Consider the following 25,048-nt stretch of genomic DNA (forward strand, 5'->3'; position numbering starts at 1 on the left):
CTCGTGGGCCGCCGGCAGCATGCACCTCCATGGCAGGAGGGGCAGCTCGTGAGGGCCTCACGTCAGTGTGTGGGCTGGAGGCGCAGGCTGCTGGTAGGGCACGCAAGAGAAGATAAACATTTTAGAAGCAGGTCTGAGACATTACAGCAGCTTTATTTGCCAAAGTAGGGCTCTGAGCTTTGTTTTAGTAAACCATGGGCAGGAGGCCATGAGGGTCTAACCCGCCACTCCGAGTGTGGTCCGGCAAATCCTCCGCCACTGTCCTGGCAAGATCTTCCCGGTGGCAGCAAGGCTGATGGGCCCAGGTGCCTTGGGCCCTTCCCACCGGGTTTACTGGGTGAGTGCCGCTCTGGGAATCTGCCTGTGATTCTGACACAGAAGCCCTGAGACATGTTGGCAGGAGTGAGGCAGGCGCGACCCTGCCCCAGAGGGGACCTCTCTGGCCCTTGCCTCTCACCTGGAAGGCCAGGTGGTCATCCTCATGGAACTCCCCAACAGAGCCTAGTCACCAGTTTAATGAACACGCTCTGAGCAAAAACTCCTCAGGCAGAGGAGGGAGGGAAATGCAGCAAGGAGAGTGGCAAGCAGGGACCAGAGCCCTGGGGTCCCTGCCGCACGGTGAGCAGGGGAGAGAGCCCCCAGCAAGGTGTCTGAGGAGAGGGCAGGCAGCTGCCCGGGATGCCCAGTGGTGGGCAGGTGAGATCTGGAGTACAGAGGGGGGCCCGTTGTACTTGCAGCTATGGAAGCGGATATGAAGTGCCCGAGGGTGCGGTTGAGATCCCTGCATAAGAAGTGATGCAGTTGGGGGCGAGGGCATGAGGAAGGTCAGTACAGACTGAGGGCAGCTCAGAAAGAGCAGGGGGTGCCACAGCCTCCAAGAAGCAGGGGTGGAAGGAGAGGAATGCAGAATTTGACCCTAAGAAGAAAGCAACCGCATCAGCCGTGAGGATGGGGCCTCTCAGCATGATCAGTGGTGGCTGTCCCTGAAGCAGCTCTGAGGGGGCCCTGCAAGGGGAAGGCCGAGCCCCTCCAGAGGGTCAGCAGGAGGGTGAGGCCAGCCCTTCAGGGGAGGCAGCTCTGGGGCCGACAGGTGCTGGGGCCACGCAGGGAGCCTGGTCCCCACCAGGGACATCCGTGCTCCCTGAGATATAGAAGCACTCAAAAGGGTGGCCCCAGGACCATCCCGGGTGCAAAGCAGCTGCGCCGTGTGGTCACCGCCTGGCTTCTCCTAGAACCCACAGCCTCGGCGCAGCTCGAGAACATGGAGGAAGCCCCCAAGCGGGTCAGCCTGGCCCTCCAGCTCCCTGAACACGGCAGCAAGGACATCGGAAGTGAGTCAGCAGCGCTGGTGGGGACTTTGGGACTGACTGACTGCTCTCAGGGGCCTTAGAGGCTGCAGGCAGGAGGGACCACCCACGGTGAGGAATCAGGAGGCACAGAGCCTACCTGAGGGGAGGCTGAGCACCAGGCACCCCGGTGTGGGAAGATGGGGTGAAGCTACACCACCCAAGCAGTGGGACCCCACAGACGGGAACAGGCCAGGGGGCAGGACCCACCCAAACCACCCAGAGTCTGAGCTAGAGAGACTGGCTTTGATGCTGCCTCCCCTCCCCTCTCCTCCTTCGCCTCCACATGCAGCAGAGCCCACCCCAGCCCCTGCCTCTGGGCCCCTCACCCCTCACTTCTCCAAAGAGGAGCAGGCGGAGTCAGGATGGGAGAAGCAGAGGGAGCAGCCACTGGGCGAGCCCCAGCTTGAGGACTAGCTGGGCCCTGTGGACACTCAGGTTATGCAGGACCTGAACTGTCTCCTAGTCCGGGGCTCTGCCTCGTGAGGATCGAGGCCAGCACGTCCCTGCAGGGCACCAAGCATCTGCTGAGCACCTGCAGTAAGAGTTCCCAGACGCTCACGAGGCAGTTCCCCTTCGGGCAGCACCAATACATGTGTGTTCCTCACCCTGAGTCAGACTCTACCTTTCTCCTGGTTCTAATCCTTTGGGGCTGTGTCCTCTATGGACAGCTCTCCTAGCACCCGGTGACCTGTTCTCCCCTGAGTCATACCATAGACTCAGATTGGGATCACCCCTCAACCCAACCCCAAAGAAGTCCTAGTACTTGGTAAAGGTGTGAGCTGCTGAGCGTGGTCTCACCCGCAAGGCCTTGCCCCCAGCTTCTCAAGGACATGTGTACACATCAAGGGCACCTGCGGTGGGGTGTGTTTGCAAGTGGCGGTTTCGCTGAACCCTAAGTTCACCATCCCCCCCCCGCCCTCACCATACAAGGTCTGGACTTGCTGCTAGCCCCTGTGAGCACCAGGAGGACTGGTTTGTGCATCCGACGCAGAGAGTGAAGGATTCTCTTAATTCAGGTGTGGCCCATTCAGAGTGAAGACTCTCGTGTTGATCTTTAAGTGAACTAAAACAAACATTTCATCAGATGATTTGCATTATGTCAGCCCCTTTAAATACCAGGTGTTCATTTCCTAGAACTCAGAGATTGGAGGGGCGTGTGTTACCCTCCTGGGTCTCTTCAGCAGGAGAGATTCAAGATGACCCCCGGGCTGGCCCTGAGGTCACCACGGTCATGTGGTGTTTGCCAGCACGAGATGCTCATGCCCTGGTGGGTGCAAAATGATTTTAAGTGATAACATGAAAAGTAGACTCTTTAATGGCCCCTCGATGCGCAAAGCCAGTCATGATCTTTGGTTCATGTTGCACTCTCACGCTAGCTACCTTTTATTTAGTTATTAGCCTTTGAATAATGACTAAATCAAGAACCCAACCTATAAACTTGGATGTGAACGATACCTTCTATCTTGCCATCATACTCCCTGTTCTCTCCCCTCAGTTAACCATGATCCTGAACTTTGTGCCTAGAATTCCTTTGTTTTTTCAGAGTGGAAGGTGCGGGGAGTGATTCTATGGTACATATATGTATGGCAGAACAATAAGTGAGTTTTCTTTGCAAGATAATTATCTTGCCATGTGTGATCGTTAGACCTGTGTTTTCACTCCGCATTCTCGGACTGAGGTTGGCCCATGCGGTCTGGGCGGCTGCGGCTTATTCACACCTACTATTGAGCACAGAGTCCACTGAGTGAACTGACCGGCTCTTCTCCCCTCTCTGTGCAGAGAACATGTAGGTTGTGTTTGGTATGAGCAGTGCTGCAGTGGATGTTCCTGTACAGGTTTTCCAGTACGTGTGCGGGAGTGGAAAAGCTGGATCTAGGATGAGGATGTGTGAATGCCCAAATTACATGAGAACTAAGTCATTTTCTAAGAGGCGATAGCAGTCTGCGCTCCCTCCAGCAGTGATGAAGACATGCAGTGAATCCAGTCTCTCTAGAACTAGGTTTTGCCGGGTTTGCAGATCCTACAGGCAGAACGGGTGGGATGCACACCCCTGGGATCTGGGTTTGCATCTCCTGGGCACTGATGTGACTGCGCCTCTCCTCATGGGCATCCACCAAAGGTGTTTGCTTCTGTGAAATGCCTGATCACGCCTTTTGACTTTATGTTGGGTTATTTGTACTCTTTTTATTCATTTGTCAAAATTCTTATATGTTTTGATACTGATCCTTTGTCAGGTCTGTGTTCTGCAGGTATCTTCCTCCAGCCTCTGGCTTGTCCTTCCCTGTTCTTGGTGGTACTTCCTAATAGAGAAAAGTTCATAATCAAATTTATCAAGCATTAGTGGTTAACAAGTTGGGAGCCTTCTTTAAAAAATATCCTTCCCCACACCAAAGTTAGAAAGTTATTCATGTATATTTTTTTCACAAAGATGTAAAGTTTTGCTTTTGACCTGTAGGTCATTAATCTGTTAGACTGTGTGTGTGTGAGAAGTTGGGCTACAATTTCATTTTTTATGCATATGGGTAAACTGGATTTTTCATCTCTTCATGCTAAAAAGTCCCTTTTTCCCCCACTGTCAGTATCAAAATTCCACATATAAAAGTAGAATTCTGGCGGCGTCAATTTGATACATCTGTGCCAATACTGCCCTGTGTTCACTCTAACTTTGTAAGTCCTGGAACTGATTGGCAAAGTTCCTTTCCTTTACTCTTCATCTTCAGAAGTATCATTGCTACCCTTGGCCTTTTTTCTTCCACATATACACCTTCAAATCTAGTCACACTCTATGGAAAAGGCCTTTGAGATAATGATGACTGGGTGTGCATTCAATCCATTGACCATTTTTGTGAAAATTGACATCTTTAGGATAGTAAGTCTATATCCATGGACATGGGATGTCTCTCCATATATGACATTATGACTTATTTAATATCTTTCAGTAAAGTTTTATATGGAATTCAGACTTATTCCTAGGTATTTTATAGTTTGATACTATTATATAGTTTGATACTAGTATATACTTTAAAAGTTACTTTTCCTGATTATTTATTACTGGAGTATAGATATTTATTTGACCTTTGCATACTGACCTTATAGCCAACCATCTTGCCAAACTCTCCTATTCTTGTCATACATTCTTTGGGGTTTTCTATATATATATAAAATCATATCCTTTTAAAGATTAATTGTTTGCCTTTTAAAACTCAGACCTGCTCACACCTGTAATCCCAGCACTTTGGGAGGCCTAGGCAGGTGAATCACTTGAGGCCAGGAAGGAGTTCAAGACTAGCCTGGCCAACATGGTGAAACCTGTTGGTGTGGTAATGGGTTAAGGATAGGCATTTAGATCAGTGGAAAAGAACTGAGAGTCCAGGGCCGGGCGCGGGGGCTCACGCCTGTAATCCGTGGAAAAGAACTGAGAGTCCAGGGCCGGGCGCAGTGGCTCAGGCCTGTAATCCCAGCACTTTGGGAGGCCGAGGCGGGCGGATCACCAGGTCAGGAGATCGAGACCATGGTGAAACCCCGTCTCTACTAAAAATACAAAAAATTAGCTGGGCATGGTGGCGGGCGCCTGTGGTCCCAGCTACTCCGGAGGCTGAGGCAGGAGAATGGCGTGAACCCGGGAGGTGGAGCTTGCAGTGAGCTGAGATTGCGCCACTGCACTCCAGCCTGGGCGACAGAGCGAGACTCCGTCTCAAAAAAAAAAAAAAAGAATTGAGAGTCTGGAAATAAACCACACGTCAATGGCCAACTGACTTCTACAAGGGGGCTGAAACCATTCAATGTGGAAAGAATAGTCTCAGCAAATGGTGCTGGGACAGCTGGATATCCACATGCAAAAAGAATGAGGCCGGAGCCCTCGTACCATATACCTCATAACACAAATTACCACAAATTGACCAACAACCTAAATGTTAGGAGCTAAAACCAAAACTCTTAGAAGAAAACATAGGAGTAAATCTTCATGACCTTCGATCATGAGGGTCCTTAGGCTCAACAATAAAAGTATGAGCAACAACAAAAATCTATATATAAACTACTCTTCATCAAAACTTAAAACTTCTGTGCCTCAAAGGATGCCATCAAGGAAGTGACATGACAACCTGTGGAGTGGAGGAAACATGCAAATCATACCTGATCAGAGACCCGCGTCTAAAATAAAGAGCTCTGACAACTGAACAATAAAAAGACAAACAACCCAGTTCAGACATGGGCAAATCATACCTGATCAGAGACCCATATCTAAAATAAAGAGCTCTGACAACTAAACAATAAAAAGACAACCCAATTCAGACAGGGGCAAAGGACCTAAAAAGACATTTCTGCAAGGAAGATATGCAAATGGCCAGTAATCACACCGAAAAGATCCTTGACATCATTAGTCAGCAGGGAAATGCACATCAAAACCACTAGGATGGCGGGAATTAAAAAGTCAGATAATAATAAGCATTGGTGAGGACGTGGAGAGATCAGAACCCTCTACGCTGCTGGTGGGACTGTAAAGTGGTACAGCTGCTCTGGAAAACAGTCTGGCAGTTCCTTAAAGGATTAAACCAATAGTTACCGCATGACCCAGTAATTGCACTCCTAGGTATATACCCAAGAGAAATGAAAACCTATGTCCACATGAGGTCCTGTACACAAATATTTATAGCAGCACAGCACAAAAGCCAGAAAGTAGAAACCACCAAAGTGTCAATCAACTAACGAAAGGAAAAGTGGCCGGGCGCGGTGGCTCACGCCTGTAATCCCAGCACTTTGGGAGGCCGAGGCGGGCAGATCACCAGGTCAGGCGTTCGAGACAAGTCTGGCCAACGCGGTGAAACCCCGTCTCTACTAAAAATACAAAAATTAGCTGGGCGTGGTGGCGGGCGCCTGTAGTCCCAGCTCCTCAGGAGGCTGAGGCAGGAGAATCGCTTGAACCCGGGAGGTGGAGTTTGCAGTGAGGTGAGATCGCGCCACTGCACTGCAGCCTGGGAGACAGAACTAGACTCCGTCTCAAAAAAAAAAAAAAAAGAAAGAAAGAAAAGAAAGGATAAGCAAAACATGGTATATCCACTCAATGGAACACGATTCAACCATAAAACAAGGACGCATGCTGCATGCTACAACATGGATGAATCTTGAAAACATGCTAAGTGGAAGAAGCCAGACACAGAAGACTCTATGTACTATGATTCCATTCATATGAAAGTCCAGCAGAGGGAGCTCTCTAGTGACAGAAAGTACATTAGCGGTTGCTCAGGACTGGAGGGTGGAGGGGATGGGGAAGGCAGTAACAGCTAAAAGGTACAAGGTTTCTTTCTGAGGTCACGAAAATGTTCTAAAATTGTGCTGATGGATGCCTGTATCTGTGAATATGCTTAAAACCAATAAATTGTACACTTTGGGTGAATTTTATGTTATATGAATTATCTCAATAATGCCTGCTTTAAAAAAGTTATGTGCAGGCCAGGCACGGTGGCTCATGCCTGTAATCCCAGCACTTTGGGAGGCTGAGGCAGGTGGATCACTTGAGGTCAGGAGTTCGAGACCAGCCTGGCCAACATAGGGAAACCCTGTCTCTACTAAAAATACAAAAATTAGCCAGGCATGGTGGCACACGCCTATAATCCCAGCTATTCAGGAGGCTGAGGCAGAAGAATTGCTTGAACCCAGGAGGCGGAGGCTGCAGCGAGCCGAGATCGCACCATTGCACTCCAGCCTGGGTGACAGGGTAAGACTCCATCTCAAAAAAAAAAAAAAAAAGGCCGGGCGCGGTGGCTCACATCTGTAATCCCAGCACTTTGGGAGGCCGAGGCAGGTGGATCACAAGTTCAGGAGATCGAGACCATCCTGGCTAACATGGTGAAACCCCATCTCTACTAAAAATACAAAAAATTAGCCGGGCGCAGTGGCAGGCGCCTGTAGTCCCAGCTACTCAGGAGGCTGAGGCAGGAGAATGGCATGAACCCAGGAGGCGGAGCTTGCAGTGAGCCAAGATCGCCCCACTGCACTCCAGCCTGGGCGACAGAGTGAGACTCCATCTCAAAAAAAAAAAAAAAAAGTAACGTGCAGAACAGTGTTTTCAGTATGTTGTCTTTTGTGTAGGAAAATGGAGAAGGGAAATACAAATTTTGTCCTCATTTTAATAAAGAAATGAAACTAATAAGATGGTTCACTAAATGAGGAGGGAAAGAACTGCATAATGGGACTGGAGATCGGCGAGGCTTCTCTGAATGAACCTTGTTTTACAGTTTTGACTTTAGAACCAAAAAAAAGGTTTTAAAAACAATAAAAAGAAAAGGCAACACCTAAAAATTGAAAACATACTGAAATAAGTAAACCTAGTTATCATGTGGATGGCATAACCACACAGGAAAAAAATATCATTGCAAGCGATTTTAATAAGAGTAGTCTGTTCACCCCTAATGGAATATGGTCTAAGGATAAAAAGCATCGCCAAGGAATGTTAGGCTATACTCAGTGATCTTAATGTTAGTAGTAATACCTGAATTGTTATTTTGAAATGATTGCATGTATATGGTAGGATAAAGAAAATAATTGTTAACGCCACCAAGATTTTCAGTGTAAAGAATTAAAAATATAAAATGAAAGAAGTTAAAAATCTTGTTTGTTTTGGCTGGGCGCAGTGGCTCACACCTGTAATCCCAGCACTTTGGGAGGCTGAAACGGGCAGTTGACTTGAGGTCAGGAGTTTGAATCCAGCCTGGACAACATGGTGAAACCCCGTCTCTACTAAAATACAAAAATTAGCCAGGCATGGTGGTGCGCGCCTGTAGTACCAGCTACTCGGGAGGCTGAGGTGGGAGAATCACTTGAACCCAGGAGGCAGAGGTTACAGTGAGCTGAGATCGCGACACTGCACTCCAGCCTGGGCAACAGAGCAAGACTCCATCTCAAAATAAATAAATAAAATCTTGTTTGTCTTTTGATTCTGTTAATTTGAAATGGAAATATTAGTATGAACTCATAATGTGTTTATTTTTTAAAGAAGCCTAATTTTCTAGTTCTGTTCATTGAAAGGCCTGAAGCTGTGACATCCCATAATAGGGAGCGGTGTGAGTGCCAGGCTGTGGGCTCTAGATCTCGTTCTCACCAAGAAGCCAGTGATCTTTGGAGAAATGGGTGATTCCAAGACTGAAGCAGGATGTGGACAAAATAAGCCCAGGACATGTTGTGTAAAAAGCAAGCAAGCTTTCAAAACAGCAGACCATGTCCTGAGGGCGGGGAGCCAACCTGAAGGGCTCCCGCTGTCCAAAGACAGAATAAATTGAGCATCAGGAAAACAACTGACAGCAATGGACGGAAGCCCATGAAATATACCAATATCTCTGTGTTCATCGTGATGCTCAGAAAGAAGAAGCAACCTAGTGGGCAACTTTGGAGCTTGCTGAGGACCAACTCGGTCTGCAGGCACACAAGCAAAGGAGCAGGGTGGAGCCTTCACGCTGCCGTGCCTGTGTGGACCAGTCCAGGGTGACCACGGGGTAGGTGAGGGAAAGCCTGTCTTCACAGACCACTCTCCAGCTGGTGAGGGCAGGAGCGACAGGGACAGACACAGGTCTGTGAGAGGACAGCCCTTGGATCAGGGATCTCGATGTCTTGCTCGAGCCATCAGGTGCAAGGCCCGTGGGGACTTTTTTCTGGGTTGGTCAGGCTGCCAGCACTGGACCAGTGACCAGTCCTCGTGTCACTCGAGTGGGACTTGGACACATCACAGGCCGCCTGGGCTGGCTGGGGGTGCACACGCATCCCTGGGCAGCAGCCCTGCAAAGACCATCTGAACCTAAATCCTATCAAGCACCTCTCTCTAGTGAGAGTTCACAGGAAACACAGGGGTGGGATCAAGTGAGCAGTAAGTCACATCCATTAGAGCACCAGGAGGGACCTCAGGATCCAAGCAGCAGAAACCGTGTTCAGGGGCAAAGCCAGCAAGGGTCGGGGTGGGGAGGGGCCACAGGCCAGTGGGGGCTCAGCACTGAAGGCCCCGCTCCTCCCTCCCTCTCCCTCCTCCTTCTCCTCCTCCTTGTTTTTGTTTGTCTTCCTTCCTTCCAGTAATGAGGTCAGGGCCGAGCACACTGCGGCCTGTCTCCTCACCTCTGCTCTCTCTCAACACCTGAACTGGGACCACGCTCTAGGGCCCAGAGGCGTTTGGGAGGCCACCGCAGCACACCACAGAGGAGTGCACGGCCACCCTGCATCAGGTCATCAAGGAAGGGACAGCAACATGTCCATGAGGCAGGCCTGTCCTGGGGTTCCAGTGACTAACCTCTCGTGACCTCTGTTTCCAGACGTCCCTGGCAACTGTTCAGAAAACCCCTGTCAGAACGGAGGCACTTGTGTGCCGGGCGCAGACGCCCACAGCTGTGACTGCGGGCCAGGGTTCAAAGGCAGACGCTGCGAGCTCGGTAAGTCGGGGCTTGGCCTCAGGGCGCCCCTTCCAACACAGCCTGTGCCTCAGCCTAGGACTGCTGGGCCACAGCTGGGTTTGCCACGGGAGCCTCCAAACGATGAGGTGCCAGACAGGGAGTCTGGTGCACGGGGCTGACCCCTGAGCCCCCAGGGGCTGCGCTGCTGCCCCAAGCACCAGGATGAGAGGTGCTGCCCATCACGGGGGTCAGAACAGCCACAGCATGCGAGGCACAGCTTCGGAGGGCTCCCTGACCCAGCCAGAGCGGTGTCAGGAGAAGGGACTCTCCACCCCCACAATACCAACCCACCCCGGCCTTAGAGGAAGCCAGCTGCAGACCCCCGGGCCCTCTCCCACCATCCCGCCTTGGAGGAAGCCAGCCTAAGGACCCCCGGGCCCTCTCCCTTGGGCAAGGCCTCTCAAGAGGGGCAGGAGGAGCCGTCAGGAGCACCTGGTGAGCCACTGCCCTTCTTTGTCGCAGCCTGTATAAAGGTGTCCCGCCCCTGCACAAGGCTGTTCTCCGAGACAAAGGCCTTTCCAGTCTGGGAGGGAGGCGTCTGTCACCACGTGTAAGTTGGTTTCTGTCCTCCGCCTTACCGCATTTGTCGTGTGTTCTTGACTCCTCAAAGTGCTGTCTCAAAGCTACCCAGCTAACCCTGAGGAGGGACGATGGCTGCAGTCACAGAAGGGACTTGCTTTGACCATCGATTCCCTCCATGTCACAAATTAGGCAGCTGAGGCAGAAAAACCGAATAACTGCCCCAAGTCCATGCAGCTCAGGAGCAGGGGCTGAGAAGAACGCAGGCTCCTGGTCCCCAGGCCCCCAGGCCTTCCTTCCCACACATCAGCCCAGTCCCCACTGGATGGCAGAGCCAACTGATGTGACCTTCCTCTCTTCTCTTCCTCAGAGCCCCCTGGAAAAACAAACAGCTCATGAGAATGCCGGCCCCAGTTCTGCCATTAACTCATGATGTGGCCTTAGGCCCCCCATCTCCAAAATGGGCTGTGGAGGGAGAGATGCCCAGCCCATCTCTTAGGTCCTTTCTTGCTAACACTCTATGACTCTGTCGGTCACACAGTCCATTTAGTCAACAGATGACTTACTGAGCACCTGCTGTGTGCCGGGCACTGTCCATTTAGTCAACAGATGACTTACTGAGTACCTGCTGTGTGCCGGGCACTGTTCTAGATACTCAGCACACATCAGAACAGAGCAGACCAAAGCCCTGCCTTCAGGACCCGTTCATTGCAGATGAGGGGACAGACAACAGACAGCAGTGAGAGTGTGGTGTGTGGTGTGGCAGGTGGTGAGTGCAAAGGGAAAAAGGACGAGATGACAGGACGAGACCAGGAGAGCCTGCTGGGGATGGGCAGGGCTGGTGCAGCAAGAGGGCAGCCTCCTGGGGAGGGCGATGCTGAACAGACATGGAGGAGGGATGGACATTCCAGAGCCAGAGGACAGTTACCAGGGCCCCAAGTCAGGAGTGTCCCTGGCATGTTGGGGGAGAAGTGGAGAGTGGTGAGAGGTGAGGGACAGGGAACCCTCGGGGCCATGGAGACCCACAGAAGGACTCTGGTGTTTGTCCGGCATGAAATGGGGAGGAGCTACTGAAGGGTTCTGAGCAGAAGAGTGACATGTTCGATTACACTACTTTGGATGCTCTGTGGAGAATGGGATGTAGACGGGCAAGGGTAGAAGCTTCATTAGAGCTTGGACATGAAGCCAGGTGTAATATGTAGCAGGAACACATATGAGATACTAATCTGTGTTGGGATTTGGGAAGCCGTGTTGACAGCCCACTGAATTCGGATTCTATGCAGTGAGAGTCCGAATCCACAGTATCTGCCATCTTCCCGCTGTGCTTAGTTACACCAGTGCCTGCTGGTGACCACCAAGTATCCAACAAGAAGACCCTTCACTTCCTGAAAGCATTCTATCCTTTCACTTTTAACCTATCTGCATATTTCAAGTGACTTTCTAGTATTTAACATAGAGGTGGGTCTTGCTGGATATCTAGTCTGACAGTCTGGTTTTTATTGGAGTATTTAGACCATTTACTACCTTCCACATAATGGCTGATGTGGTTGGATTTAAACTGCCATATTACTATTTGTTTTCTATTTTTCCCACCTGCTTTTTGTTCCTTTTTTCTTTTTTCCTGCCTAATTTTGGATTACTTTTTAGGATTCCATTTTGTCTCCACTATGGGCTTACTGGTTATACTTCTTAGGTTTATTGTTTAGAGGTTGCTCTGGGATTTGCCATACACATCTTCACCTTAACACAATGTACCCTTAATTACTATTGTACGAGTTCAATATGATGGCAGCGTCTAGGATTTTTTTTTTTTTTTTTTTGAGACAAAGTCTCCCTCTTGTCCCCCAGGCTGGAGTGCGATGGTGCGATCTTGGCTCATCGCAACCTCTGCCTCCTGGGTTCAAGCAATTCTCCTGCCTCAGCCCCCCGAGTAGCTGGGATTACAGGCGCCTGCCACCACACCCTGCTAATTTTTGTATTTTTAGTAGAGACAAAGTTTACGTAGAGACAGGGTTTCACCATGTTGGCCAGGCTGGTCTCAAACTCATGACCTCAGGTGATCCACCCACCTTGCCCTCCCAAAGTGCTGGGATTACAGGCGTGAGTGACTGTGCCCGGCCAGCAGTGTCTAGGATTTACCATACACATCTTCAACTTCACGCCGCATACCTTTAATCACTAGTAGACAACTTCAGTATCCATGGCAGCGGCTGACATCAAGCTTCCACTTCCCTCCCATCCTTTGAATTATTATCAGACTTTTTCCTTCCACATATGCTGTGAACTGCACTATACGTTATTTTTGCACTCAAAAATTATCTTGTTTTAGATATTGAAAGTAAAGTATTTTGTATTTATTGTACATCTGCCTGCCGACTCCAGCACTCTTCATTCCTTTTTGTAGATCTAGGATTCCATCTGGTATCATTTCTCTTTGCCATAAGAACTTAACTCTAACATCTCCTATAGCACAGGTCTGCAGGAGATGAATTCTCTCTGCTTTTGTCTGAAACTATTTTTTTTTCACCTTCATTTTTGAAGAATATATTTGCTGAATATAGACTTCTTGATTGACAGTTATATTTTTTTCTTTCATGACTTAAAAGTTGTCATGGCTTTGTCTTCTGGCTTGCATAGTTCCAGACAAGAAGACTGCAGTCATTCTTACCTGTGTTACACTGTATGGAATGTGTCTTCCTGCCCCTTTTATGTTTTCCCTTTATGACTGTTTTTGGACAATTTAATTATGATGTGCTTCTCGGTATGGCTACGTTTTGATTCTCTGGAGTTTAAGCTTCTTGTATTTCTGGGTTTTAATTTTGTCAAACTTCGTAAAATTTTTGCCATTATTTCTTCATATATTTTTCCTGTCCCTCCATTTCTTCTACTTCTGGGACTCCAGTTATGCGTGTATTAGACTGATATTGTCCCACAGGTCACTGCAGCTCTTCTCAACTTTTTCAGTCTTTTCATTTTGGACAGATTCTATTGCTATGCACTCAAGGTCATTGATCTTTTCTTCTGCAGCATCTACCATTAATCCTGTTCAACAAAAGTTTTATTAATACTGTGTTTTATCATCTCCAGAAGTTTCATTTAGTTGTTTCTTAGATGCTCCAATTTCTATCTTCATTATCTTTATATTTTCCTTTAGCTCACTGAACATGTGGAACAAATTTATAATAGATATTTTAAGGTCCTCATCTGCTATTTCTGTCATCACTCTCATGTCTGGGTCTTATTCTATTTGATTATTTTTCTCTAGGTTATGGGTCACTTTTTTGATTATTCAAATGATTCTTGAATGTCTTATAGTTTTTTATTGGATGCTGGGCATTGTAAGTTTTATGTTACTGACGCTGGATTTGTTTGTTTGTTTGTTTTCTTTTCAAGAATGTTTTTTCTCTGCAAGGCATTATCTGAGTATAGTTTGATCCTTCTGAGGCTTGTTTTAGGTGGCTTTGGAGTAGCCTTTATTCTGGGGTTAATTTTGCCCTAGTTCTATGGCATGGCCTTTCTGCGGTTTCTTTTTTTTTTTTTTTTTTTTTTTTGAGACAGTGTCTTGCTCTGTCGCCCAGGCTGGAGTGCAGTGGAGCGATCTCAGCTCACTACAACCTCCGCCCTCCTGGGTTCAAGCTATTCTCCTGCCTCAGACTCCCAAGTAGCTGGGATTACAGGCACTCACCACCATGCCCAGCTAATTTTTGTATTTTAGTAGAGACAGGGTTTCACCATGTTGGCCAGGCTGGCCTCAAACTCCTGACCTCAAGTGATCGGCCCGCCTTGGCCTCCCAAAGTGCTGGTATTACAGGAGTGAGCCACCGCACCTGGCCCTGTCTGGGGTTTCTATGGATGGCCTAATAAACAAGATCTCTCTACTCTGGCTCTGGAAATCGTTCAACTCCTCAGTAGTTCTTCTTTGCCTTGTGGGGATTCACCCTATGCATGCACAGCTTTATTTCCAACCACAGGCCCAAGGGGACCCTACACAGATTCTGGAGTTCCTCCTCTGCATAGTTCCCTCCTCTTCAGTACTGCCCCACAAATTCCAGCTGCCTCTGTCTCCCCAACTTCAATCTCTGTTTCCTCAACTCAGTGTGACCACTGCTTGGATCCCCTTTCTCTGTGATGCCATCCAAAAACTTCTCTAGGCTGAATTCCAGGCTGACCACAGGACTCATCTCATCTGTTTCTCCTCTCTCAGGGATTACAGTCTCGTGTTGTCTGTTTTCTAACATCTGACATACAGTTACTTACTATATTTTGTCCAGTTCTCTGGTTGTTCACATTGGGAGGTTAATTCCAGATTCTGTTACTCTTTCATGTCCAGAAATGGAAGTCTTACCACAGGTTTTCGATCCTAAAGGTTCTATGAGACTTAGCATATGAGTTGGAGCTTTGCCTGCTGAACTCCTTGGATTTCCCTTTTAAACAGCTCTGACATTTGAGAACTTTAACAAAAGACAAAACGCCTTCCCATCCATTATTATCTACAAACTTGTAAGAGAGATGGTATGAGTAGGTCCCATTTTTACCTGCAACCGAGGCTTAAAACTTGAAGAGACTTGCTCAAAGTAGCCTGGTTAATAAATGGAAGAGGCAGGAGATGAAATCGGGTCTCCTGTTCTACAATGCCTACATCCGAATCCCGAATCCCCAACACTCCTCAAACTTCTCTGTGAAATACCCAGAAAAACAGAAAAGCGAGGCCATACCTTCCCCAGGCCTCCGGCCAGGTGGCTGCCTCTAGCACTGACATGTCTTTGACATTTCACATTTTATTTTTAGTACCATATCCTTTGTCAGTGCTCATCAGAATGCACATTAAAATGGGTTTATTTTATGCATATTACTGTACCACAATAAATTTATTACAAATCACATGACCTTTATGTTAGACATTTTAATACATCAATAGGAGGTCACGTTTCATTCAGAAAATAGCAGTTTTTCCCTCAAACACCTTCAGGTTTACTGTGGGTTCACATAGCCTAGGTTAAGCAGTTGGCAACATTTTGCTTCACTGTCTGGTTTTACAAAGCTTTCTTGTGACAACAGGTATAAAAGAGTCTACCGAGTTCACCAAGACATCTGCTTCAAAGAGAGCTGTGAAAGCACAAGCCTCAAGAAGACCCCAAACAGGTGCCTCTGGGGAGCAGGCCCATGCCGTGTCCTGCATGTAGCCCACAGGGTGATGGGGCAAGGGCGGGGTGCTATGGGATGCTGCAGGCCTGTGGGCTGAGCCAGGCGGTCTACTCGCCCAGATAGGCAGCCCCTGGGCAGCCACGTTCTGCTACGAAACTGTATGTCCATATATGTGCATGTGAGCATACCCAGAGGGGCACAGCCGGGCATGCTGGGTGCTGGGGGGGGTCACTCTGGTTATGCATATTCACACAGAACATGGTGCTACAATTGGGAAGCACAGGGTGTTACGGACAGCCCCGAGTATTTAATGGCCGATATAGCGCGTCGCTCTTTACTTTTTATTCACTCACACCCAGGTTCTTTCCACAAAGGGTTCAAGGTAGTTACAAGAATTACTACTGTTTGGCGTTTGCTGAAAGAAGTACGTGAGAATATTATATGCTTTAGAAACCACAGAGTCGAAGCCTGTCATCGTCCTCATAGACCAATGAGTAGCCACACGTACTTGTTTGGCATTACCAAGTGTCCGGGCAAGGCCGCAGCCTGCAGCTCACCAGCCGTGCTGCTCGGCCTGTGCACGTCACCGGCTCTTCCCTAGGGTAGCTTTTGCTTGCTTTCTCCCACGTCCATCCTCTCTCTCTCTGACTCACAGCCAGCCAGGTTTCTAGCCTTGTCATTCCTAAACTACTGCCTCAAGCCAGGCGGGCGCACACAAACTAAAATGCTAATCTCCACAGCGGTGTCTGGACTAATGGTGTCCCCCACCGTGGAATGTATGTGAGCTAAAGACAGGATCTCAGCAGGCAGCCTGGACTGAGGTAGCTGTAGAATTCAAGGTACACAGTCTCTTTTTCATTAAACGACTTTTCTCTAATTATTTCAGGAAACAAAGTAAGAGTCAGACACTGGAGAAATCTTAAGGTACGTCCCTGCTGCTCCCGCCCCACTACCACAGAGCTGCTGGGAAGTGGGGGGCGACTGCCCAGCCCCGGGATCTCAGAGTGCCGCTGCCTGCTTACTCAGCACTGCTAAAGGAAGCGCGGTCCTGTGCTGCTGTGTTACAGACTCCCGGGCAGGAAGGTTCAGAAGTCCCCAAGGGGAAACAGACATGAACCTGGTCTAGCCACTGACAAATACACCTTCAGGTGGAAATGAGGCTCTCTGTGGATAGGGCAAATCCCACTCTCTCTCAAGGGAAATGTGGCCAAGAAACCCCTAGATCAGCTGCAGTGGGAGGAAGAGGCAGGGGGGTGGGCCCTTGGAGAGGCTGGAAGACCACCTGGCACCTGGGAGGAGGGGCCACGGGCAGCGGGAGGGCCTGGGCTGCTGAGAAATTCCGGGGGCTCCAGGAGAGGGCTGAGAGAGTGCCTCCCAGATCTTGTGAACGGCATTCTGTTGGAACTAAAAGTGGGGCAGGGGCCTTGATCGCTTAATATTTAGAAAGTGTTGAAGACCGCCGCTAGAAAGTCGTCACTGACACTGGGCTCATAGGCATTCATAAATCCTGACGTGAAAGGAACTTCCTCTCGCCTTTGTTTAAGCCAGCATTTCCCAAACTCTTTTGGCAACCAAACCCCATCCTGCCCCCACCTCCCCACACAAACTGCCGAATCTTAAACAACACTGGCATTCTTCACAATCGTTTGCAAGAGACTGGGATATACCATAGAAAGCCATCTACAACCTGTTACCAGTTTCATACTGACCATCATTTTTTATCAACATGTCACTGCATGAAAGATGAATCTCTGGTTGGCCTAGGACAGCTTTGCTCTTCCTGCCCCTTATAGGAGCCCTCACAGTTCATCTTCCTGGTGGCGCAGATGAGTGAGGCACCCTTGGGTAACAAGCCACTTCAAAACAGGTCTATGTTTTGTTACGTGCCTAAAAAAATAAAGGAGAAATGTCATTCAGGAACCTTTAAAAACAAACAGAAGCAAAACAGCTTTTCAGATATAGGCTCACACACACCAAAGGAAGAGTGTCCACACCCCCTTGGGGGAAAGGTCTGGGCCGGAGCTCCGCACATGGCAGGAACTTGAGCTCTGAGTTGGCCATGACAGAGTGCATGCATCTGCCTCTTCGGATGTGGAAAGTCTCTCCATAAGAGAGTAGCCGGCAGCATTCACTTCCTGTTGACTCGAGGGAATCACTTCCCGCTCCCACCTCACCCTCCAAAGACACACACACTAAGCACACTCCAGGCTTGTAAGCAATTTCCTACAGCCGAGCATCACTTAACAATGGAGATGCATTCTGAGAAATGCTTTGTGAGGCAATTTCATCTGGGCGAACATCATAGCGCATACTTAGAACAAACCTAGATGGCACCGCGTACTGCGCACCTAGGCTGTGTGGCAGAGCCCATGCTCCCGGGCTACACACCACAGCGTGTTACTGAATACTGTAGGCGGTCGTAACACAGTGCCAAGTGTGTGTGTATCTAAACGTAGAAAACCTACAGTAAAAATAGATATAAAAGATAAAAAATGGTATACCTGGGCAGGGCGCTTAGCGTAGCTGGAATGCGCAGGACTGGCAGTTGCACAATAATAAATTAGTCCTGCAATAAGAAATTAACCTTAGCTTACTGTAACTTTTTTACTTTATACATTTTTAATTTTTACTTTTTAACTCTTTTTAATAACAGCTTAAAATACAAACACACTGTACGGATGTTCAAAATTGTTTTCTGTCCTTAGTGCTTTTCTCTGTTTTTAAAATTTTTAATTGTTTTTTACTATTTAACTTTTGTTAAAAACTAAGACACAAACACACACATTGGCTTATGCCTACACAGGGGCAGGATCATCCATGTCACCTTCTTCCACTTCCACATCGTGTCCCAGTAACACACATGGAGCTGCCACCTCCTGTGACAATGATGCCTTCTTCTGGAAACCTCCTGAAGGACCTGCCTGAGGCCATTTTATAGTTAACTTTTTTTCATAAGTAGAAGGAGTACACTCTAAAATAATGATGAAGAGTATAGTAAATACGTAAACCAGTAACATCACAAATTATCATCAAGTATTATGTACTCTACATAATTGTATGTGCTAGACTTCTATACACAGGGCAGTGCAGTAGGTTTGTATACACCAGCATCACCACAAACACAAAAAGAATTATTCTAGCACTTTGGGAGGCCGAGGCCGGCGGATCACTTGAGGCCAGGAGTTCGAGACCAGCCTGGCCAACATGATGAAACCCTGTCTCTACTAAAAATACAAAAATTAGTCAGACATGGTGGTGGGCACCTGTAATCTCAGCTACTGAAGAGGCTGAGTCAGGAAAATCACTTGAACTTGGAAGGCAGAGGTTGCAGTGGGCTGAGATTGCGCCACTATACTACAGCTTAGGCAACTGAGCAAGACCCTCTGTCTCAAAAAAAAAAAAAAAAGAAAAAAGAATTCTGTACGATGGCTATGACCTCAGCTCCACTGTAATCTCATGGGACCACTGTCATGCGCGCGGTCCTTCATCGTGCAGTGCCTAACTGTACTAGGATTAAGAATCCACAAACATAATTTGGGTTTGAGATATTTATACGGTGGTAAGTCACCTGAAATATTAATGTATCTTTTTAAATGCTTGCCTAGCACATCCACTCCCATAAAAACAAATCAGAAACCCCCAACTAATTATCAAATACTGACTTATAGAATACCTATTCTTGAAATAATGGAGACAACACACAAAAAAGCAGGAAACAGAAACACACGCACCCAGACACCCATCCAAGAACAACACGAGAATTCATTTCAACCCAGAGCAACCTGACACAGCTGTGCCCTTGGAGAAAAGACCCAGAGTCGTTACCGGAAGGAGGAGGGCAGGGAAGAGGAACAGGCTGTGATTTCACATTTAAAAGTTGCAATGCTGAGCCCACATGTTCCTAAAGATGGGGATGTAGTCGGTGGAGGCTGCCCCTCCCCGTGTGCACTGCCATATGGTAGAATCCTGGTGCTCTAAGAACGCGGGGTCCTCCCCGTGTGCACTGCCATATGGTAGAATCCTGGTGCTCTAAGAACGTGGGGTCCTCTGGGTGACAGAGGCCCTGAGGGCCACTAAGAGAAGCAGGAAGCAGCCCATTTAAAGAGGAGTGGGAATGCCTGTCATTCTCCTCATGCTTCACTTTGTTTTTTCTTCAAAGGATTTAAGACGTTCTTGTTACACTCCACCAACCTCACGAGTTTCTAACACCCAGGAAGATGAGGTCTAAAAACTGGATGAAAAAGGACACCCTGAGAAAAGGTCCTAGCTGGAGTCAGTCCCCTCTGTGACCTCTCTCCTCAGGCCTCTAGAGGACAGATGGCCAGGCCTGTGCACACACCAGCCCACCCTGAGAGACCCCTCTGGGACCAACCACCTGTGAGTCCTGCGATGCGTTTAAGCAGCCTGTGCCCTCACCCAAGCTGCAGTTCCTGAAGGTGTAGTCTGTGTCTCTGCGGATGAGATGACAGCTCGCCATTCCCCGGAATCAGTGAGGCTGTCAGTCAGCCACGCTTCTGCAGTATGCAGAAACCTGTTCTTAGACTCCAAAGCCAGAGAAAGAATTCTCCCTTCGAGGCCCAACAAATTGAGAAGGAACTGTGATGGACCACTTCCAAAACAGAGACGGGGGCAGGGGCTGAAGGGCAGAGACCAGGTGATGTCAGAAGGAAAGCCGGGTTGCAGACACAGCCGCCCCTGCTCTGGTCCTCCAGCGTGTTTATGACGCTCGTGCAGGTCGACGAGCCATCCTATGGACTAGTTAACACTAAGGTGGAGTTCAGACTTTTTTAGACAACGGCGCGACTGGCAGCCTTTCTCTATCAAGGGTCAGACGGTAAACGTTTTCAGCTTTGCAGACCAGAGGTCCCTGTGGCTACAGTAGCGCAGACACAGCCACAGGCATGTCATTGAATGGCTGCGGCTATGTTCCAATAAAAACTTATTTACAATAACAGGTGGTGGCCAAATTGGCCCATGGGCCTTATTTGGTGAACCCTGTTCTATGAGATCACCTAGGCTTCAGCCTTAAACAGTGGAAGCCATCCCCTGAATGACAAGTCACAAGGGTATCAAAGAAAGACCCCTGAATTTTCATGGAAAAAGCTATTCAGACCCCTGCTTGGAAAGCTAAGGCACACTGCCACGAAGCAGCAAGGACGCCTTACAAGTCTCAGTGCAACAGAGATGGACACCTGGGCTGGGCTGGACAATGTTTAAGGTTCCTTTTAGTCCATGACTCAAGTGATACTGTTTTAGGCTATCAGGTAGTAAACACGATCTTAGACATCCCCATCTTTGTAAGCAGAACAGTACGGCACTTCACCACATCTGCTTCCCACCATGCTTCTAAGCAGCTGTCTTCCCCCTGCTAATGTTACAACCAAAGCAGCCACCCCACCTCCTCTCGTGTTGAGCCTCACGACCGCTGACCCAGCTGGAAAGCCAGCGCCCTGCCGCGTCACCCTGACTCTGCTCAGAGCCAGCATTCCAGCCACAAAGAGGGCCTCCTTCCTTTCCTCTTTCATAAAAATGTTTTTTGAAGAGTTAGAGTATATTTTAGGCTTTTTATCTTTATTAAAATTTCATGTGCATGTGTCTGTGTATTCTGCAATTTGTCATTTTCAGAAAGAAGGAACAGGCAATTCGCGAAGTTTCACCTGTACTCCCGAGCTGTTCCCCAGGCTCCAGACCCACTTGAGAGCAGAAGGTGGAGCTCAATGAAGGGTCTCGAGCTCAGCGAAGGGTCACTGGGTGAACTGAGAGAAACCACGTTCACAAACGCGTACTGCGGACTTCCTGCCGCCCTGGGACCTGTCACTGTTTGTCCATGTAAGCTACAGCATTACTAGCAGATGCTAAGATCGAGTGATATCACTGGAAAAGTAGGTGAATCCTACTAGGAAACTTTCTACTCCCTACTAGGACCTCAAGCCCCTCAGCCACACAGCAAATGCTAATATGCTCCAGTGTTAGCTTAGAAGCCTTGTGTCAACAAGAACTGGCTCCTGAGTCCCAAGCTTGGTGCCACACAGCAAATGCTAATATGCTCCAGTGTTAGCTTAGAAGCCTTGTGTCAACAAGAACTGGCTCCTGAGTCCCAAGCTTGGTGCCACACAGCAAATGCTAATATGCTCCAGTGTTAGCTTAGAAGCCTTGTGTCAACAAGAACTGGCTCCTGAGTCCCAAGTGCTGTCACAGGACTTGCCCATTGGGATGTTTTCCACATTAAATATCAAGTAAAAAGACTTCCTGGTGCTCAGGAATTACAGTTCGTTCTTGAAACATTCCAAAGAGGCCACCACAGCTTTTCCCATGTGGCTTCTTTTAAAAACTCAAATGGCTTCCTTGAAAATACTCAAAGTCCACCCAAGGAAATTAGTAATAATAGAATCAGAAAACTGTCAGGAGCATAAAGATTTCTGTATCAAAATGAAAGAAGCAATCCTGAGTTGCTGAATTACCCATCTGCTAATGAAACCGGGATGGACTGATCATCTAACCAAGTGCAGACTGAGGATTCTACTTAGTCCTCCGACTGGGTACAACAACAGCCTAGGTTCTAGGGAGGGTGGCAGTGACCGGGATGCCACAATGGAAGAGAAAATGAAAACACTGGCACAGTGAAATGTCTCATTTCCAAACAGTTTTGCCTATGGCCAAGCAAGGCAATAAAGACAAACTCTCCCTTTTCCCCATTGCGTGTGGGCTGCCAGGTACAAGTAAGGGAATCTTTGCTGTGCCCACTGTCCTCCAGTAGAGAACCCAACAGGCAAGGGCCCCACTCAGGTATCAGCTCACCTCCTGCACCTCCCCTTAGCAGGAACTCCTTCCACTGGCAAAGGACTGCCACTGCCATCTGACTCAACTGTGGCGATGTGGACGGAGTCACCGAGCTGCTTTTCTTTTGCAAAACAAAAGTCTTTTTCTTTGCAGTCACGCTGTAAGACGAGGCTGCTGGAGAAAACAAAAGCACCTAGATTTCAGTGCTGAATCCCCACAATTGCATGCAGCTCACACCTACCAGGGGTATTCCAGTGCATAGGGGAAAGGAACCCGGCTGAAAAACCAGCTCCTTATTTTTCTTTTAAATAAAATAATACGATCCTAAGTCCATTTACCATCTGAAGTTGTCACGAGTGAACAGTCACATTACTGTTGTGGACCAGGCCTTAGATGAGTTTCTCAGGCTCAGCACTGACATTCTGGGCCGGATCATCCTCTCTTGTGGGACCATCCTGTGCACTGCAGGATGTTTCACAGCACCCCTGGCCTCTACCCACTAGAATCCTACAATCTACCAGATCCTAGGATCTAGTTGATCCTAGAATGCTACCAAGGAGACTTGAATTTTGGTCCCATCATCAAAAATGCCTTCTGCATCAATCCTATGCCAGTTTCCCCTAAAAGAGGGCTAACTGGAATGTTCTAGGATGTACCAATCCTCCAGGACCCTCTTAGAGCTCATGCCATCAGAGACAGGCCTCTATCTCAGGGATCACCCCGGCTGACATCAAATTCCTCTTCTCTTTTCCCAACATTTCAAATTGTTCTTCGGACTCATTGAGTTCCCTAAGGTGACACGCCCCCCCCCCCCCCCACACCCACCTTGGGGGGTCACGGATTGCTCCCTGTGGCCCTGGCTTCAGCCCACCTGCTCCATGACCCTATGCTCTTCTCCTCTGGTTCTCGAAGCTGTCTGTAACCAGGGCAGGGGAGATAACTGTATGGGACCATTCCCTGGCCTCCACCTGCCCCAGCACTCTCCAGGCCAGCACAGTCTGGCACTACAGACTACAGGGCCGGAGACACCAGGCTTGGAAGTGACCACTGGCCAAGAGCTGACATAAAAGCCAACTTCCCCAAACAGGAAGGGCCTGTTCTTCACAAAGATAAAGAAAACTGCCAGCATTTTGCTGGCCTTAAGAAGCCATGCAAAATTAACCAGTACATCATGAATTAACTTCTTTTACTCTGCTGTGCACTGAATACCATTATGAAGCAATATACTTTTGGATTAAAAATAAGCATTTTTGTGGAAAATCTGCTACATGTTTTCATAAAATAAAGTGCTATGATGTACTAAAACCTCACATTGCCTTCTCGTAATTTTATTTTTATCACAAGAAGGAAATACATAGTGATTCCTGAACCGGAAGAATGAACCCCATCTTCCAACTGTCACGGAATTATCACCAACATATTCAAAAGAGAAAAAAATAAAACCAATTGTTGATATATTGAGTCCCCTTGATGTGAATAGCTCAACATAAGTATCTTATTCAGGATGGGACAGGGCCCTCCCCACAGACACGTGACAACAGATCAAACATGCATTTCCTGTTTCCTGTTTGGTTTGATCTGTCTGCCTCTCAGGTGACTTATAATTTTTTTCATCAAGAGACCAGTTTTAGAATAAAAAATAACTTGAGAAGATTCAAGTAAAGGACCCAAAAGCTTTAAGAGAATGAAAAGCTTCCTTGATATCTCTGGGCCCTTTCGCTCTAGTCCTTCCATCACAGCTATTCCTCCTCGTCGTCGTCCTCATCCTCATCATTGTCCTCCGCCTCGTCGTCGTCCTCATCATCGTCATCCTCATCATTGTCATCCTCATCATTGTCCTCCTCATCATCGTCATCCTCATCCTCATCCAGACTTGCCCTTTTGTCATCAGATGTGCTGCTCTCAGACTCCTCCTCCTCCCGAGCCAGGAGCTTCTTAAAAACTTGAAACTCCTCAACAGAAGTACAGGCTGTCCTGGCCAAAAACTCAGCTTCTGAAACTCTGAGAATGTCCTTGAGCAATGGGTTAGGGATCTGTGTCTGCCCCTTCTTATCAGGGGTTTGGTACCGTCCCAGGCGCTCCAGGTAAATGTGTCTCTGCTTAATCTTGGTTAGTGAATACTGCAAGTACTCACTCTTTACAATGTCTGGATGCTTAATTCCCATCCTGAAGTATGCATACTGGAAGACACAAACACACTTAGGAGTCCCAGATACAGAGTATTGAAACCTATCATTCTATAAACCATAAAAACTTAAGTTGTACAAAAGGATTCAAAAAGAATTGCCTAATTGACAACAGCGAATACCCAGTCTAGGATACTGACATTTGTGTGACAGCCAGCAGTTTCAAAACACTTTCAAATTCATCCTGAGAAACATGGAGCAGGAAATAAAGGGGTGGGAGGGAAAAGGGGCAGGAGGGAGAAGGGGCAGAAGGAAGAGGTGGTATTTTTCTTTAAATGGGGAAGGAAAAGGATGAATATGGAAAGAATAGGCAAAACATTCAGAAAACATCTAGAAATTCGACCTAAGTTGTCATAATTATTACCAAAAAATCGGACAACTGTTAAAATTACATTTTCAAAATCAACATGCAAAATAGATTCTAAGGACAGGAAGGTTTCAGCTATTTTAAAATTAGCTATTTCAGAGTCCCCACTTAGACTCTAAGAATAGGACTGGATCATTCATTATTAATGGCAGAAAAGTTGAAGAATAGGTTTGATCTGTAGTAAAGAAATTAAAGATTTCTCTTTGGCTGATGTATGCAGAGAATCTAGTCTTTCACTTCCTCCACTCAAATATGAGGTGTCCGAGGCTT

The 25,048-nt window shown here is 47.9% G+C and overlaps 2 protein-coding genes across 35 annotated transcripts in view, besides 1 other annotated feature; one reads left to right on the plus strand and one right to left on the minus strand.

Annotated features, from left to right (window-relative positions):
* SNED1 (sushi, nidogen and EGF like domains 1) overlaps positions 1-23,535 on the plus strand; it is a 97,919-nt gene extending 74,384 nt beyond the window's left edge. For 8 of the 22 annotated variants that reach the window (XR_002959254.2, XR_002959257.2, XR_002959258.2 and 5 more), the window contains 5 exons: positions 1,233-1,331; positions 9,644-9,760; positions 10,244-10,331; positions 15,359-16,369; positions 19,605-23,535. Coding sequence is in view for 11 of the 22 variants with exons in the window: in XM_011510931.3 (XP_011509233.1) it covers positions 1,233-1,331; positions 9,644-9,760; positions 10,244-10,331; positions 15,359-15,442; positions 16,332-16,368 (425 nt within the window). In the remaining 11 variants the exon portion in view is untranslated. Of the gene's footprint in view, positions 1-737; positions 825-1,232; positions 1,332-2,279; positions 6,745-9,643; positions 9,761-10,243; positions 10,332-15,358; positions 17,380-19,604 lie in introns of those variants that run through there. The other 14 variants (XM_011510931.3, XM_047443885.1, NM_001080437.3 and 11 more) reach the window with 8 other exon arrangements.
* Positions 1-25,048, minus strand: part of MTERF4 (mitochondrial transcription termination factor 4) — a 59,702-nt gene that overhangs the window by 29,448 nt on the left and 5,206 nt on the right. For 3 of the 13 annotated variants that reach the window (NR_028051.2, NR_028050.2, NM_001330180.2), the window contains 3 exons: positions 22,244-22,399; positions 17,947-18,011; positions 15,119-17,332 (listed from right to left, as the gene is read on the minus strand). Coding sequence is in view for 6 of the 13 variants with exons in the window: in NM_001330180.2 (NP_001317109.1) it covers positions 17,315-17,332; positions 17,947-18,011; positions 22,244-22,399 (239 nt within the window). In the remaining 7 variants the exon portion in view is untranslated. Of the gene's footprint in view, positions 1-134; positions 3,650-12,632; positions 13,343-15,118; positions 17,333-17,946; positions 18,012-22,243; positions 24,406-25,048 lie in introns of those variants that run through there. The other 10 variants (NM_001330179.2, NM_182501.4, NR_138463.2 and 7 more) reach the window with 9 other exon arrangements.
* Positions 1,409-1,925: an enhancer, noted in NCBI's record as "H3K4me1 hESC enhancer chr2:242012857-242013373 (GRCh37/hg19 assembly coordinates)". NCBI's record gives its function as "activates a minimal SCP1, AML or CMV promoter by ChIP-STARR-seq in naive H9 embryonic stem cells {active_cell/tissue: H9 hESC(naive)}" and the evidence as "EXISTENCE:reporter gene assay evidence [ECO:0000049][PMID:30033119]".

Source organism: Homo sapiens, chromosome 2 (assembly GCF_000001405.40).
Source record: "Homo sapiens chromosome 2, GRCh38.p14 Primary Assembly".
Classification (NCBI taxonomy): Eukaryota; Metazoa; Chordata; class Mammalia; order Primates; family Hominidae; genus Homo; species Homo sapiens.